Source organism: Homo sapiens, chromosome 19 (genome assembly GCF_000001405.40).
Source record: "Homo sapiens chromosome 19, GRCh38.p14 Primary Assembly".
NCBI lineage: Eukaryota > Metazoa > Chordata > Mammalia > Primates > Hominidae > Homo > Homo sapiens.
In genome coordinates, this window is record NC_000019.10 from 41,255,462 (window position 1) to 41,268,371 (window position 12,910).

Below are 12,910 nucleotides of genomic sequence, written 5' to 3' on the forward strand. Positions count from 1 at the left end.
ACAGAGTCTTACTCTGTCCTTTAGGGTGGGGTGCAGTGGCATGATCATAGCTCACTGTAGCCTCCAACTCCTGGCTCAAGCTATCCTTCTGCCTCAGCCTCCTAAGTAGCTGGAACTACAGACATGTGCCACCATGTCCAGCTAATTTTTAAATTTTTTTGTAGAGACAGGGTCTTGCTTTGTTTTCCAGGCTGGTCTTGAACTCCTAGCCTCAAGTGATCCTCCCACCTTGGCCTCCCAAGGTGCTGAAATTACAGGCTTGAGCCACTGTGCCTGTTTTTTTTTTTGTTTGTTTTTGAGACGGAGTCTCACTCACTCTGTTGCCCAGGCTGGAGTGCAGTGGCGTGATCTCAGCTCACTGCAACCTCCGCCTACTGGGTTCAACTGATTCTCTTGCTTCAGCCTCCCAGGTAGCTGGGATTTCAGATGTGCACCAACACACCTGGCTAATTTTTGTACTTTTAGTAGAGACAGAGTTTCACCACATTGGCCAGGCTGGTCTCAAACTCCTGACCTCAAGTGATCCACCTGCCTTGGCCTCCCAGAGTGCTGGGATTACAGGCGCCAGCCACCATGCCCAGCCATGTTCTGTTTCTTAATCTGGGTGCTGGTTACATGGGTGTGTGTGTGTGTGTGTGTGAAAATTCAGTGAGCTGCTTACTTATGACTTGTGCACATTTCCATATGTACAGTATACTTCAAGAAAAAAAAATTTCATCAAGGAATCAAACCCAAGGAAGGACCTTAGAATCTAGCAAAGAGCCAAAATTGGGAAGTCCTGAGGAAGCCCTTTGTCCCATCCTCACTTGACAGAGTGAACAAGAAGTAAAGCAGTTCCCTTCTGGACTGGGATGAAGGTTTAGGAGACAGATCCCCACCCGCAGCCAGGACAGTGAGGGGAGGAGGTGCAGATGTGTCTGAGAGCCAGGGCAGGCTTCCTGGTGGAGGTGACTGATGCCCTGACCCTGTTCCTTTCCCCAATCCAAACAGGCTGAATGAGAACATGTCCGTGTGTGTGGCGGACTTCGGGCTCTCCAAGAAGATCTACAATGGGGACTACTACCGCCAGGGACGTATCGCCAAGATGCCAGTCAAGTGGATTGCCATTGAGAGTCTAGCTGACCGTGTCTACACCAGCAAGAGCGATGTGGTAGGTGCACTCCCGCCAAGAGTGGGGAACCATGGGAGGGCATGGCCTGACCATCACACACTATGCCTGGGTGGCTGTGGATGCAAGGGTCACAGGGACATGTGGGCTTCCCTTTGCAGGGGCTTGTCCACATGGGCTGGGCATGTCTTGGGGTATGGTGGGCATCTCTGAATAGTGGTGTGTACATGCCCAGGATAAATACAGGCCCACGTGTGCATGGTAGCAATGTAGACAGTTTAGGTTAGAAGAAGCTGCAGTGATTATGCGTGCATGTGCGCACACTCATAGAATGTGGACAGCCAGGGTGTGCAGAGTGGCACATGAGCTCATGTGTCCATGAAGTGTGTATATGTGTGTGATGGTGAGCATGTGTATGCATCCACAAAAGTTACTTATTCATGTGTATACCCGTGTCAAGTATTTTTTATATATATATATTTTTCTTTTTTTGAGATGGAGTCTCGCACTGTCACCCAGGCTGCAGTGCAATGGCATGATCTCAGCTCACTGCAGACTCTGCCTCCCGGGTTCAAGCAATTCTCCTGCCTCAGTCTCCCGAGTAGCTGGGATTACAGGCGCCCACCACCATGCCTAGCTAATTTTTGTATTTTTAGTAGAGACGGGGTTTCACTATATTGGCCAGGCTGGTCTCAAACTCCTGACCTCAGGCAGTCCGCCCACCTCAGCCTCCCAAAGTGCTGGGATTACAGGCATCAGCCACCGCACCCGGCTAAAGTATTATGTTTCTATGAATACTTGTGATGCTCCCAGAGGATGGTTGTGAACATGTGTACATAAGTGTGGGTGTACCCATGAACCTGGGTATTGGTGCGGGTGATTCTGTGCAGGAGAGACTGTCTAATTCCCTCTGCCCCTCACAGTGGTCCTTCGGGGTGACAATGTGGGAGATTGCCACAAGAGGCCAAACCCCATATCCGGGCGTGGAGAACAGCGAGATTTATGACTATCTGCGCCAGGGAAATCGCCTGAAGCAGCCTGCGGACTGTCTGGATGGACTGTGAGGACCCTTAGGTCTCCCCCAACCCAGAATTCATTCCAAACCCCTGACTACCCCCAGATGGCCCTCACAGGTCCAGGACTCTCTATAACCCAGACAGAATCCCTGAGAATGCTGAGTGACCCACTTGCCCCTCACCAATGCTCTGAGTAGGGCCATCACTAACCAGTGGGGTGCAAATCAGCTAAAGGCACCCTTTCCTCCTTTGTCTGTGTGGGCTGAATCAGCCCCCTGGCTCCCCACCCCCAAGCCAGGTATCCTTGGGTAGTGAATAACAGCACAGTCTTACCTGGCGGCCCTGCCTTTGGGACATGCACTCCCAGAGACTTCTCATTCCAGACTCCTGAGCACACCATGCTTCCCCGACATGCTCCTCAACACCTGAGACTCTCTGCAAAACCCTTCAGTTTGTTTTATTGGCCTTCTCCAGACTCAGGTCTCCTCTGAGATATTTGCAGGATCCTTCAGGGAATGCTTACCAAACTTTGCAATATTGGAGTATGCGGAGAAGGCCGTGACATTTAGCTAGCACTTTGAGGGTAAAGAGAGGATGACTTTGGGTCAGGAGGAGACAGCCTGGGGCGTCAGACTCCTCAGTCCACCTTGGGTACTCCAAGAGCTGAGACGAGTAAAAATAACAGCTAACATTTTCATATAACTGACTAGAAGGCACTGTTTTAGGTGCCTGGCATGTGTCAAATCATTTGGTCCTTACCACAGCCATGTGATGTAGATAGGTATCATTATGATTCCCATTCTGCAGATAAGAAAACCCAGTCCTACAGGGAGGGTAATTTATTTTTATTTATTGACTTGAGTCTCGCTCTGTCGCCCAGGCTGGAGCACAATGGCTCCATCTCGGCTCACTGCAACCTCCCAGGTTCTAGCGATTCTCTTGCCTCAGCCTCCCAAGTAGCTGGGACTACAGGCGTGTGCCACCATGCCCAGCTAATTTTTTTTGTATTTTTAGTAGAGATGGGGTTTCACCACCTTAGCCAGGATGGTCTTGATATCGTGACCTCATGATCCACCCGTCCCAGCCTCCCAAAGTGCTGGGATTATAGGCATGAGCCTCCACGCCCAGTCTGGGAGGGTGATTTATTTGCCAAAGATTGCACAGCTGGTGTGTTTGTTATCTATATCCCCAAATCAAGTAGTTTAAAACAACAAACGTTTATTATCTCACACAATTTCTGAAAGTTGGATACTGGGAACAGCTTAGCAGGGTGATTTTGGTTCAGGATCTCTAATGAAGTTACAAAGATATCACTGGGGGCTGCAGTCATCTGAAGGTTGGGACTGGAGGATTGCTTTCAAGGTGGCTTACTCACATGGCTGTAGCAGGAGGCTTCAGTTCGTTGCCATGTGGACCCCTTTGTGGCACTGCTTGAGCTTACTCACAACATGGCAACCCAGGAGAAAGTGCGAGGAAGCCACATGCCTTTTATGACCTAGTCTCAGAAGTCACACACACCATCACTTCTGCCAAATCAGAAGCAAGTCACTAAGTCCTGCCCATGCTCAAGAGGAGAGGATTTATTCTCCGTCTTTTGCAGGGAGGAGGGTCAAAGAATTTATGGACCTATTTTAAACCAGCACAGCTTGTAAGTGGCATAGCCAGGCTTTGATGCAAGTCTGTTCTGGGGAGCTGGAAGGTCTGTTCTAGCAAACCCTCATCAGAATACTACTCCATATACAGACAGGTTTCCCGAGACCCTTCCCAGCTCCTGAGTCTCCCAGGACCCAACTCAGAAATTCTTGGGAATTCCCAAATCCCCATAGATGGCCTCAAACTGCTGAGGCTCCCTATAACCCTCTAAAATGCCCCCAGTCCCCTGAGTGTCCTAAAATGTCCCCAGGCTTCCAGAATGCACCCCTTCTGAGTCCCTGCTCAATCTCCCACCCCTCATTTTGCTGCCCTAGGTATGCCTTGATGTCGCGGTGCTGGGAGCTAAATCCCCAGGACCGGCCAAGTTTTACAGAGCTGCGGGAAGATTTGGAGAACACACTGAAGGCCTTGCCTCCTGCCCAGGAGCCTGACGAAATCCTCTATGTCAACATGGATGAGGGTGGAGGTTATCCTGAACCCCCTGGAGCTGCAGGAGGAGCTGACCCCCCAACCCAGCCAGACCCTAAGGATTCCTGTAGCTGCCTCACTGCGGCTGAGGTCCATCCTGCTGGACGCTATGTCCTCTGCCCTTCCACAACCCCTAGCCCCGCTCAGCCTGCTGATAGGGGCTCCCCAGCAGCCCCAGGGCAGGAGGATGGTGCCTGAGACAACCCTCCACCTGGTACTCCCTCTCAGGATCCAAGCTAAGCACTGCCACTGGGGAAAACTCCACCTTCCCACTTTCCCACCCCACGCCTTATCCCCACTTGCAGCCCTGTCTTCCTACCTATCCCACCTCCATCCCAGACAGGTCCCTCCCCTTCTCTGTGCAGTAGCATCACCTTGAAAGCAGTAGCATCACCATCTGTAAAAGGAAGGGGTTGGATTGCAATATCTGAAGCCCTCCCAGGTGTTAACATTCCAAGACTCTAGAGTCCAAGGTTTAAAGAGTCTAGATTCAAAGGTTCTAGGTTTCAAAGATGCTGTGAGTCTTTGGTTCTAAGGACCTGAAATTCCAAAGTCTCTAATTCTATTAAAGTGCTAAGGTTCTAAGGCCTACTTTTTTTTTTTTTTTTTTTTTTTTTTTTTTTGCGATAGAGTCTCACTGTGTCACCCAGGCTGGAGTGCAGTGGTGCAATCTCGCCTCACTGCAACCTTCACCTACCGAGTTCAAGTGATTTTCCTGCCTTGGCCTCCCAAGTAGCTGGGATTACAGGTGTGTGCCACCACACCCGGCTAATTTTTATATTTTTAGTAGAGACAGGGTTTCACCATGTTGGCCAGGCTGGTCTAAAACTCCTGACCTCAAGTGATCTGCCCACCTCAGCCTCCCAAAGTGCTGAGATTACAGGCATGAGCCACTGCACTCAACCTTAAGACCTACTGTTCTAAAGCTCTGACATTATGTGGTTTTAGATTTTCTGGTTCTAACATTTTTGATAAAGCCTCAAGGTTTTAGGTTCTAAAGTTCTAAGATTCTGATTTTAGGAGCTAAGGCTCTATGAGTCTAGATGTTTATTCTTCTAGAGTTCAGAGTCCTTAAAATGTAAGATTATAGATTCTAAAGATTCTATAGTTCTAGACATGGAGGTTCTAAGGCCTAGGATTCTAAAATGTGATGTTCTAAGGCTCTGAGAGTCTAGATTCTCTGGCTGTAAGGCTCTAGATCATAAGGCTTCAAAATGTTATCTTCTCAAGTTCTAAGATTCTAATGATGATCAATTATAGTTTCTGAGGCTTTATGATAATAGATTCTCTTGTATAAGATCCTAGATCCTAAGGGTCGAAAGCTCTAGAATCTGCAATTCAAAAGTTCCAAGAGTCTAAAGATGGAGTTTCTAAGGTCCGGTGTTCTAAGATGTGATATTCTAAGACTTACTCTAAGATCTTAGATTCTCTGTGTCTAAGATTCTAGATCAGATGCTCCAAGATTCTAGATGATTAAATAAGATTCTAACGGTCTGTTCTGTTTCAAGGCACTCTAGATTCCATTGGTCCAAGATTCCGGATCCTAAGCATCTAAGTTATAAGACTCTCACACTCAGTTGTGACTAACTAGACACCAAAGTTCTAATAATTTCTAATGTTGGACACCTTTAGGTTCTTTGCTGCATTCTGCCTCTCTAGGACCATGGTTAAGAGTCCAAGAATCCACATTTCTAAAATCTTATAGTTCTAGGCACTGTAGTTCTAAGACTCAAATGTTCTAAGTTTCTAAGATTCTAAAGGTCCACAGGTCTAGACTATTAGGTGCAATTTCAAGGTTCTAACCCTATACTGTAGTATTCTTTGGGGTGCCCCTCTCCTTCTTAGCTATCATTGCTTCCTCCTCCCCAACTGTGGGGGTGTGCCCCCTTCAAGCCTGTGCAATGCATTAGGGATGCCTCCTTTCCCGCAGGGGATGGACGATCTCCCACCTTTCGGGCCATGTTGCCCCCGTGAGCCAATCCCTCACCTTCTGAGTACAGAGTGTGGACTCTGGTGCCTCCAGAGGGGCTCAGGTCACATAAAACTTTGTATATCAACGAGCTTCTGTCTCCTCTTGTCTCCTTTTAGCTGTGATGTGGCCCCATTCCCTGGCAATTCAGTTCCCCCATCAGAAAAAAGAAGGGCTTGGTAGGGTCTTGGAATTCTGTCCTCACTAGAGAGGGTAGAAATGAACACACAGATAGACAAAAAGACATACAAGCAAAGAGATGCAGGTTCTCAGAAACCCCCAGTGAGGAACTGGCATACAGATCCAGGATCACAGACACACACACACACACACACACCTGTTCCGCCGCAAACTAACAGACACATGAATTAATGGACACACCCAGGAGGACCTGGTCACAAATACAGAGACTGAAACTCAGACGCATAGAGTAACACAGACACACAGAATTACACAGACACAAGCATATTTACAAACATGCTCAGGCAGATACCCGCCACGAATAGGAAGAGACACAGACCTAGAGTCAAGTGACACAAATACTCAAGAGACATGTAGAGTACAACAGGTACTCACAACCCCGAACGTTCAGACTGACATAGAAACACAGGCACAGAACACCTCCGATCATCACGGACCCACAAAGGGCCTCCAGCGAAGACCAGCCCACCGTGTCTGGCACGCACTCGCGAGCGGGCGTTCGCGGGTGTGGCCGGCAGCAAATGGAGAAACCCTTGGCAGCGCCCGGACGCCCTCCAGTGGCGGCTCCTGAGAACCGGGGACAGTTCAATCCGGGCCACAAACTTTTTTAGAACAAATCATTGTGGGAAGCTGGGAGGAGAGAGAGAGAGAGGAAGTCGGACGTGGGCGAGGGGCGGGGTGTCTGGACTGGAACCTCTGGGCCCACGTGAGTGTCTGTCCCGCTGCTGAGTGGGTGCTGTGTGTTTGGGTTGCTGTAGTGTTCGCTTGTAGTGCAACTATCCTGTGTTATCTTTATTATTCGATGCCGCCTGCCTCTGCGGACCGTAGTGGGCACATCTACACTGCAGCGGGGTGCCTTACCCAAAGCAGATCGGAATTGGGGCCGGGCGCGGTGGCTCACGCCTGTAATCCCAGCACTTTGGGAGGCCGAGGCGGGCGGATCACTTGAGGTCAGGAGTTCGAGACCAGCCTGGCCAACATGGTGAAACCCCGTCTCTACTAAAAATACAAAAATTAGTCGGGCATGGTGGCGGGGACCTGTAATCCCAGCTACTCGGAAGGCTGAGGCAGGAGAATCGCTTGAACACGGGAGGCGGAGGTTGCGGTGAGCTGAGATAGAGGCCCTGCACTCCAGCCAGGGTAACAAGAGCGAGACTCCGTCTCAAAAAAAAAAAAAAAAAAAAAAGAACAACAAAAAAAAGAACTGGATGCGTCTGATCTGACGCACGCCTGTTTGTTTACGACTGCGGGGTGTGCCTTTGTCTGAGTAGAGATAGTGTGTGGCTTTTGCGGGCTTAACGTGTGGCTCAGGAGGCAGTGGGAGTCTGCATCATGTATCCCGATTGCGTCTTACTCGAGTTTTGTTTTGAGTTAGAGGCGACAGGTGGTGCAGCGTTAGACACTGGGAAGCTCTGTGGCTTTTGTATTCCTGAGCGCGAAGGTTAATGACGGATCCGTGGGGTTGAGCTTGTCGGTACAGACGCCAGACAGCCCGATTTACGGGAACAGCCGATTAGAGGATTCGGGAGAGCGGTCGGTGAACTTCTGGATGTCTTTCGGGAGGGGAAGGCTCTATGGTCGCGTGCAGAGCGCCCGTTCCACGTCAGGTACCCGACCATAGAGCAAGGCGGCCGCGGACTACCCAAGGGAAGGGGAGGCCGTGTCCTTTACAACTTGCCTCCCGTTGTTAGTCTAGTTTCTATAGCCAAACCTTCGGGACTCTCTCAACTCAAAATTTTGCTTTTCCTAAAGGCAACTGGGTTCCTTCCAGATTACGAACTGTGTATCCACTTAATCTCTATTTCGTATACCTCCTCCTACAGCGAAATTTGTGAGGCAGTCCTCTGAAGCACGGCCAATCTGGTGAACTTTTCCTAAAATGAGCCATCGCTACCAGCTTTAGTGAGCTAAGACAATAACTGCGATTGGTGGGCAGATTGTTTTGAAACCGCCCTAACGGCAAGGGGCGGGCTCCTGGTGAATTCATCTCTTTCCGGTTTCTTAAAGGCAACAGGAAGGAGGGGTTTCTGCCGACCCTCCATTTGATTGGTTCTAGTGGTTTTACCCGCTCGGACTCCTCAAGGGGCGGGAGATGTACACCAATCGGAATGTGTGTTACAGAGACACTTAGTTTGATGAAAGGACTGCGCAGGAAAGGCCGTGGGACACTCATTCTGAGATCTTACCGTTGATTGGACCAAATTGTTACTCCCTTATTTTCATTGGACCTTACGGCAGCCGGCGCGCGAGAGTTACCCAATCAGCAAGCGCTCCGCCTCCTGCCTTTTCCCGCCCTCCGCTCCGGCCTCGGCTTCGACGTAGGCCAACGCTTCCTCCCCAGTAGCTCCTAGGCCTTCTCGTGGCCGTTGTTTTGAAAACGGCGCTCTGATTGGCTAGGTTTCCGGGCCCGCGCCCGTTGCCCCACGCACTGACCAATTGGCACTCATGTAACATCGGACGAGGCACGAGTGAGGGGGGAGGCGGTGGCGGCGGCCATTTTGAGCCGCTGCCGCCATTGGAGTGGGCCCCCCCCCTTTCCCCCTTCGCCTCCTGACAGGAAAGGTTTAAGGGGGACAGAGCCCTGGGAGGCCGGGCCGGGCTCGGGGGCCACCCCGGGGGCCCGGGCCATGGATGTGCGCCGTCTGAAGGTGAACGAACTTCGCGAGGAGCTGCAGCGCCGCGGCCTGGACACTCGAGGCCTCAAGGCCGAGCTTGCTGAGCGGCTGCAGGCGGCGTTGGAGGCCGAGGAGCCTGACGACGAGCGGGAGCTCGACGCCGACGACGAACCGGGGCGACCCGGGCACATCAACGAGGAGGTCGAGACCGAGGGGGGCTCCGAGCTGGAGGGGACCGCGCAGCCACCGCCGCCCGGGCTGCAGCCGCACGCGGAGCCCGGCGGCTACTCGGGGCCGGACGGACATTGTGAGAGTGCGCGGGGCGGGGGCCGGGGAGCCCGGAGCCTGGGCCGAGGAAAGGGCTGTGGGACGCGGGAGTCCAGCGCCTGAGGTCGGGGAGACGACCTGAGGATCGGGGGATCCCGCTACCCGCCGCCGAAAAGGATCTGGGGACCAGGGCCCCAGCACGACCGGAGGGTGGATCCTGACACTCAGTGCAGGGGGGACACTGGGGGAGGGGCCTCTGGGTTTCGGAGGTGAGGGACGGGGGTGGCGGGGAGGATTCCGTACCGTAGGGATCGGAGACCGGAAACTGCTTTCTGGAGCCGAAGAGAGTCGGAAGAACAAGAGGTTTTCCGTTTGGGTTGGGGAGGGTCTCGAAAATGGGGATCCTAGGGTACGGAGCTCCGTGGGCTTGGCGGTCGTGCTAGCCCAGCGTGTGGGCTGGGGGGTGGGGAGCCGTGTTTCCAGGGTGGGGAAGGAATGTCCAGGTGTGCGGGGCTGCGAGAGTTCTGAGGAAGGAGGATCCTGGAATATGCCGCTGGATGCGATCCTGGGCGTTCTCCTATTTGGGTACGGGGGTGGGTGGGAGAGGTGGAGGCGCTGGTGTCTGTGGCTGGGGAGGGTCCTAATGGACTCAGTGCTTTGGAGTTTGGCTAGTGAGCATTTAGGGGCTGCGGGAGATTGAACTAGGGGGCACCCCCATCTCTCTTCCGGGGCTGGAAGGCCACCCTTGAAGCAGGCACAGCCTGGACATTAGGTGCTGGGAGATCTGGGGACTTTCTGGTTGGCTTCTAGAAGAGGTATAGGGAGCCCTGGTGTCCAGAGGCTGGCGGGGGAGAGGATGCTTTCCTGGACAAAGGATCTGGGGGTCTAGAGCTAAGAAAACTGAGGGCAAATAACTCTTGAGGCTGCTGCTGACTGGTCTGGAGCTAACTGTGGGGTTTTTGGAGAACAGAGGGTAGCTGGGGGTGGGATGGGGGCAGATGAGTTGGTAACATTCCAAGTGGATGAAATATGTGGCGGGAGACAGAGGATCCTGTGTCCAGCACAGGAGTACGTATCTGGCTTAGCGAATATGGGGAGGGGGGAGGCCGTAGGGAGCAAAGAGAAAGAAACCTGTTGACTTCACTGGAGGCCTCAGAGTGGAGTGTGGGGAATGTTTCTGGACCTGAGCGTCTCCAGGAGAAATCTCGACGGTTCCCAGAAGCAGTTATTTGTGTACCCAGGGAGTGGGGGCCCTCGGGGAGCAGCACGGAACTCTTCATCAGCCAGGAGCTGTGACTCTGGGAATGGGTTCGGGTAGACCTGCGGTTGTCTGAGGAGAGGAAAACCTGATATGGGACGGCGTGAATCTTCAGTTAGAAAAAAAGCAGCTTTCGGGCCGAGTGCAGTGGCTCACGCCTGTTATTCCAGCACTTTGGGAGGCCGAGGCGGGCGGATCACGAGGTCAGGAGTTCAAGACCAGTCTGGCCAGCATAGTGAAACCCTGTCTCTACTAAAAATACAAATATTAACCGGATCTGGTGGTGTGCGCCTGTAGTCCCAGCTACTCGGGAGGCTGAGGCAGGAGAATCGCTTGAACTTGGGAGGGGGAGGTTGCAGTCAGCCGAGATTACGCCATTGCACTCCAGCCTGGGCAACAAAAGTGAAACTCCGTCTCAAAAAAGAAAAAAGCAGCTTTCTTTCTCTTTTTTTTAAATACAGATGGGGGGTCTCGCTATGTTGCCCAGGGTGGTCTTGAACTCCTGGGTTCAGGTGATCTCACCTCGGCCTCCTGAAGTGCTGGGATTACAGGCGTGAATCACTGCACCAGGCCTCAGGGCAGCTTTCTAGTAGGACTGGGAAATGGGGGGACTGGAAAGGTTAAGGAGTAAGTAGAAGGGATTCTGGCGTAAGAGTTTGTGGAGTTTTTCTGAAAAGAGGGCACCCTGGGACTTGGGGCTAAGGGGATAAGGAGAGAAATGAGGTAACAGAAGAGACAGGATTTGGGGTTGGAATTGGATACTTGTTCATAAGAGAATTTCCCGGAGGGAGGAGTGTGGATTTGGGGTAGGCAGTGGCCTAGAGATTATCGAGGACCCAGGTGCTGGAAAGAGGACTTCCCATTGCAGAGACTTGTGAAGAAAGGAGTGGGCCTGTGTGTGTGTCTAGAGCAGGAGGGATCGTGGCAGGAATGCCTAGCAAGAAAGGGTAGTGGGTTAGTAGTGACCTGGTGGTCTGGGCAGAGAGTCATCTCTGAGAGGAAAGCGAATTAGGTGCTTTGGAGCGTAGACTCTAGACTAAGACAGACTTCGTTTCAAATCTGGCTTAAAGATATTGGCAAGTCACTTCACCTCTGTGGGCCTGGTTTCCTTAATGTGTAAAATGGGGTTAATCAACAAATAGTGTGTTCACAGCCCCTCCAACCCCTGAGGGGTGTTATGAATGAGATCACATGTGAAGGGCTTATCACTGGGCCTGCCTTTTATGAGAAGAGGGATGTTTTAGAGAATGGAGAAGGACCCTAGAATTATAGCTTCTCCAGGAGGGGCTGCCTCTGTGAACACAGGAGAGAGATGCTGGGGAAAAGAGGCTTTGTGGGAAGAGGAGCATTGTGCTTGGAGCCTGGAAGCAGCAGAATAGTTTGAAAGGGCCCCATATTCCAATTAAGGAGATAATGCTATTTCTTCCTCTCTCCCTTACTTGCTACAACAAAGTCCTTTGAGCCCCCTTCATGCCTCCCTTAAGCCCTCCTTCAACCTTGGTAAACAGACCGGTAGCAAACCACATGACCTGTGACTTTCCTCCCTTTGGGCTGCACCTGGTTTGTGCCCAGATGTATTTATCCTCTGAGAAGGAATCCGATCAGTTAGCAAGTGGCAGAATAGTCTCTCCTTCCCTTTGGTTCTGGCTCACGGCTCCTGGCATAGCCACTGGTAGGGCCCTTGGGGCCCTAACTGAGAGCTAGCCCCTGGGGAGGAGAGCCTGTATGCTGCCCATCCTAGCTTTCTAAAGTTCTCTCTGGGTTTGGCTGCAAGGTTCTTGAGGGAATTTCTGGTTTTAGTTCCACCTCTGAGCTTTCACACGTGTTATCCCAACCCCAGTAACATTCTCCATTCTCATCACTGAGTCATTACCTGTGTATCCTTTGAATCAAGGCTTATCTGTTATTTTCCAGGTCCCTTTCTTCATTCCTGGTACTACTTTGTAGCCTTCAACACAATCATATTAAATTTTTGTGTGTCTTTAAGATTTGTCTGTCTCACTAAACTGAAGGCTTCAGTGGGGCAAGCTTGTCTTCAGCTGTATCCCAGGCTCTGGAGTATAGTATGCATGCCATGAATAGTTAATATTATTATTCTTACCACTCTTAGTTGAGCTCCTGGACCTGCAGATGCCTTCTGGATGCTTTGGTCCAGGGTTCTTCATGAACCGCCCCTCTAATTGGCCATTTTTAATTTTGTTTTAAGATGCCATGGACAATATTACCAGGCAGAACCAATTCTACGATACCCAAGTCATCAAACAAGAAAACGAGTCAGGCTACGAGAGGAGACCACTGGAAATGGAGCAGCAGCAGGCCTATCGTCCAGGTAGGAAAATACACATGGTTCATCTC

At 51.5% G+C, this 12,910-nt stretch overlaps 2 protein-coding genes across 21 annotated transcripts in view, besides 8 other annotated features; both read left to right on the plus strand.

Moving 5' to 3' along the window:
- The window catches only part of AXL (AXL receptor tyrosine kinase), a 42,544-nt gene extending 36,239 nt beyond the window's left edge, over window positions 1–6,305 (plus strand). For all 3 annotated transcript variants that reach the window (NM_021913.5, NM_001699.6, NM_001278599.2), the window contains 3 exons: window positions 991–1,150; window positions 2,032–2,168; window positions 4,092–6,305. In NM_021913.5, the coding sequence (NP_068713.2) occupies window positions 991–1,150; window positions 2,032–2,168; window positions 4,092–4,443 (649 nt within the window). In that variant the 3' untranslated portion in view covers window positions 4,444–6,305. The remainder of the gene's footprint in view (window positions 1–990; window positions 1,151–2,031; window positions 2,169–4,091) is intronic.
- Window positions 6,817–6,866: an enhancer, noted in NCBI's record as "active region_14670". NCBI's record gives its function as "activates an Ori minimal core promoter by ATAC-STARR-seq in GM12878 lymphoblastoid cells {active_cell/tissue: GM12878}" and the evidence as "EXISTENCE:reporter gene assay evidence [ECO:0000049][PMID:35858748]".
- Window positions 6,897–6,986: an enhancer, noted in NCBI's record as "active region_14671". NCBI's record gives its function as "activates an Ori minimal core promoter by ATAC-STARR-seq in GM12878 lymphoblastoid cells {active_cell/tissue: GM12878}" and the evidence as "EXISTENCE:reporter gene assay evidence [ECO:0000049][PMID:35858748]".
- Window positions 7,096–12,910, plus strand: part of HNRNPUL1 (heterogeneous nuclear ribonucleoprotein U like 1) — a 45,231-nt gene continuing 39,416 nt past the window's right edge. For 4 of the 18 annotated variants that reach the window (NM_001439168.1, NM_007040.6, NM_001439167.1 and 1 more), the window contains exons 1-2: window positions 8,911–9,337; window positions 12,762–12,884. In NM_001439168.1, coding sequence (NP_001426097.1) covers window positions 9,043–9,337; window positions 12,762–12,884 — 418 coding nt within the window. In that variant the 5' untranslated portion in view covers window positions 8,911–9,042. The other 14 variants (NM_001439172.1, NM_144732.5, NM_001439179.1 and 11 more) reach the window with 8 other exon arrangements.
- Window positions 7,343–7,882: an enhancer, noted in NCBI's record as "H3K27ac hESC enhancer chr19:41768709-41769248 (GRCh37/hg19 assembly coordinates)". NCBI's record gives its function as "activates a minimal SCP1, AML or CMV promoter by ChIP-STARR-seq in primed H9 embryonic stem cells {active_cell/tissue: H9 hESC(primed)}" and the evidence as "EXISTENCE:reporter gene assay evidence [ECO:0000049][PMID:30033119]".
- Window positions 7,883–8,422: an enhancer, noted in NCBI's record as "NANOG-H3K27ac hESC enhancer chr19:41769249-41769788 (GRCh37/hg19 assembly coordinates)". NCBI's record gives its function as "activates a minimal SCP1, AML or CMV promoter by ChIP-STARR-seq in primed H9 embryonic stem cells {active_cell/tissue: H9 hESC(primed)}" and the evidence as "EXISTENCE:reporter gene assay evidence [ECO:0000049][PMID:30033119]".
- Window positions 8,423–8,961: an enhancer, noted in NCBI's record as "NANOG-H3K27ac-H3K4me1 hESC enhancer chr19:41769789-41770327 (GRCh37/hg19 assembly coordinates)". NCBI's record gives its function as "activates a minimal SCP1, AML or CMV promoter by ChIP-STARR-seq in primed H9 embryonic stem cells {active_cell/tissue: H9 hESC(primed)}" and the evidence as "EXISTENCE:reporter gene assay evidence [ECO:0000049][PMID:30033119]".
- Window positions 8,967–9,206: a silencer, noted in NCBI's record as "silent region_10653". NCBI's record gives its function as "represses an Ori minimal core promoter by ATAC-STARR-seq in GM12878 lymphoblastoid cells {active_cell/tissue: GM12878}" and the evidence as "EXISTENCE:reporter gene assay evidence [ECO:0000049][PMID:35858748]".
- Window positions 9,297–9,366: a silencer, noted in NCBI's record as "silent region_10654". NCBI's record gives its function as "represses an Ori minimal core promoter by ATAC-STARR-seq in GM12878 lymphoblastoid cells {active_cell/tissue: GM12878}" and the evidence as "EXISTENCE:reporter gene assay evidence [ECO:0000049][PMID:35858748]".
- Window positions 9,387–9,436: a silencer, noted in NCBI's record as "silent region_10655". NCBI's record gives its function as "represses an Ori minimal core promoter by ATAC-STARR-seq in GM12878 lymphoblastoid cells {active_cell/tissue: GM12878}" and the evidence as "EXISTENCE:reporter gene assay evidence [ECO:0000049][PMID:35858748]".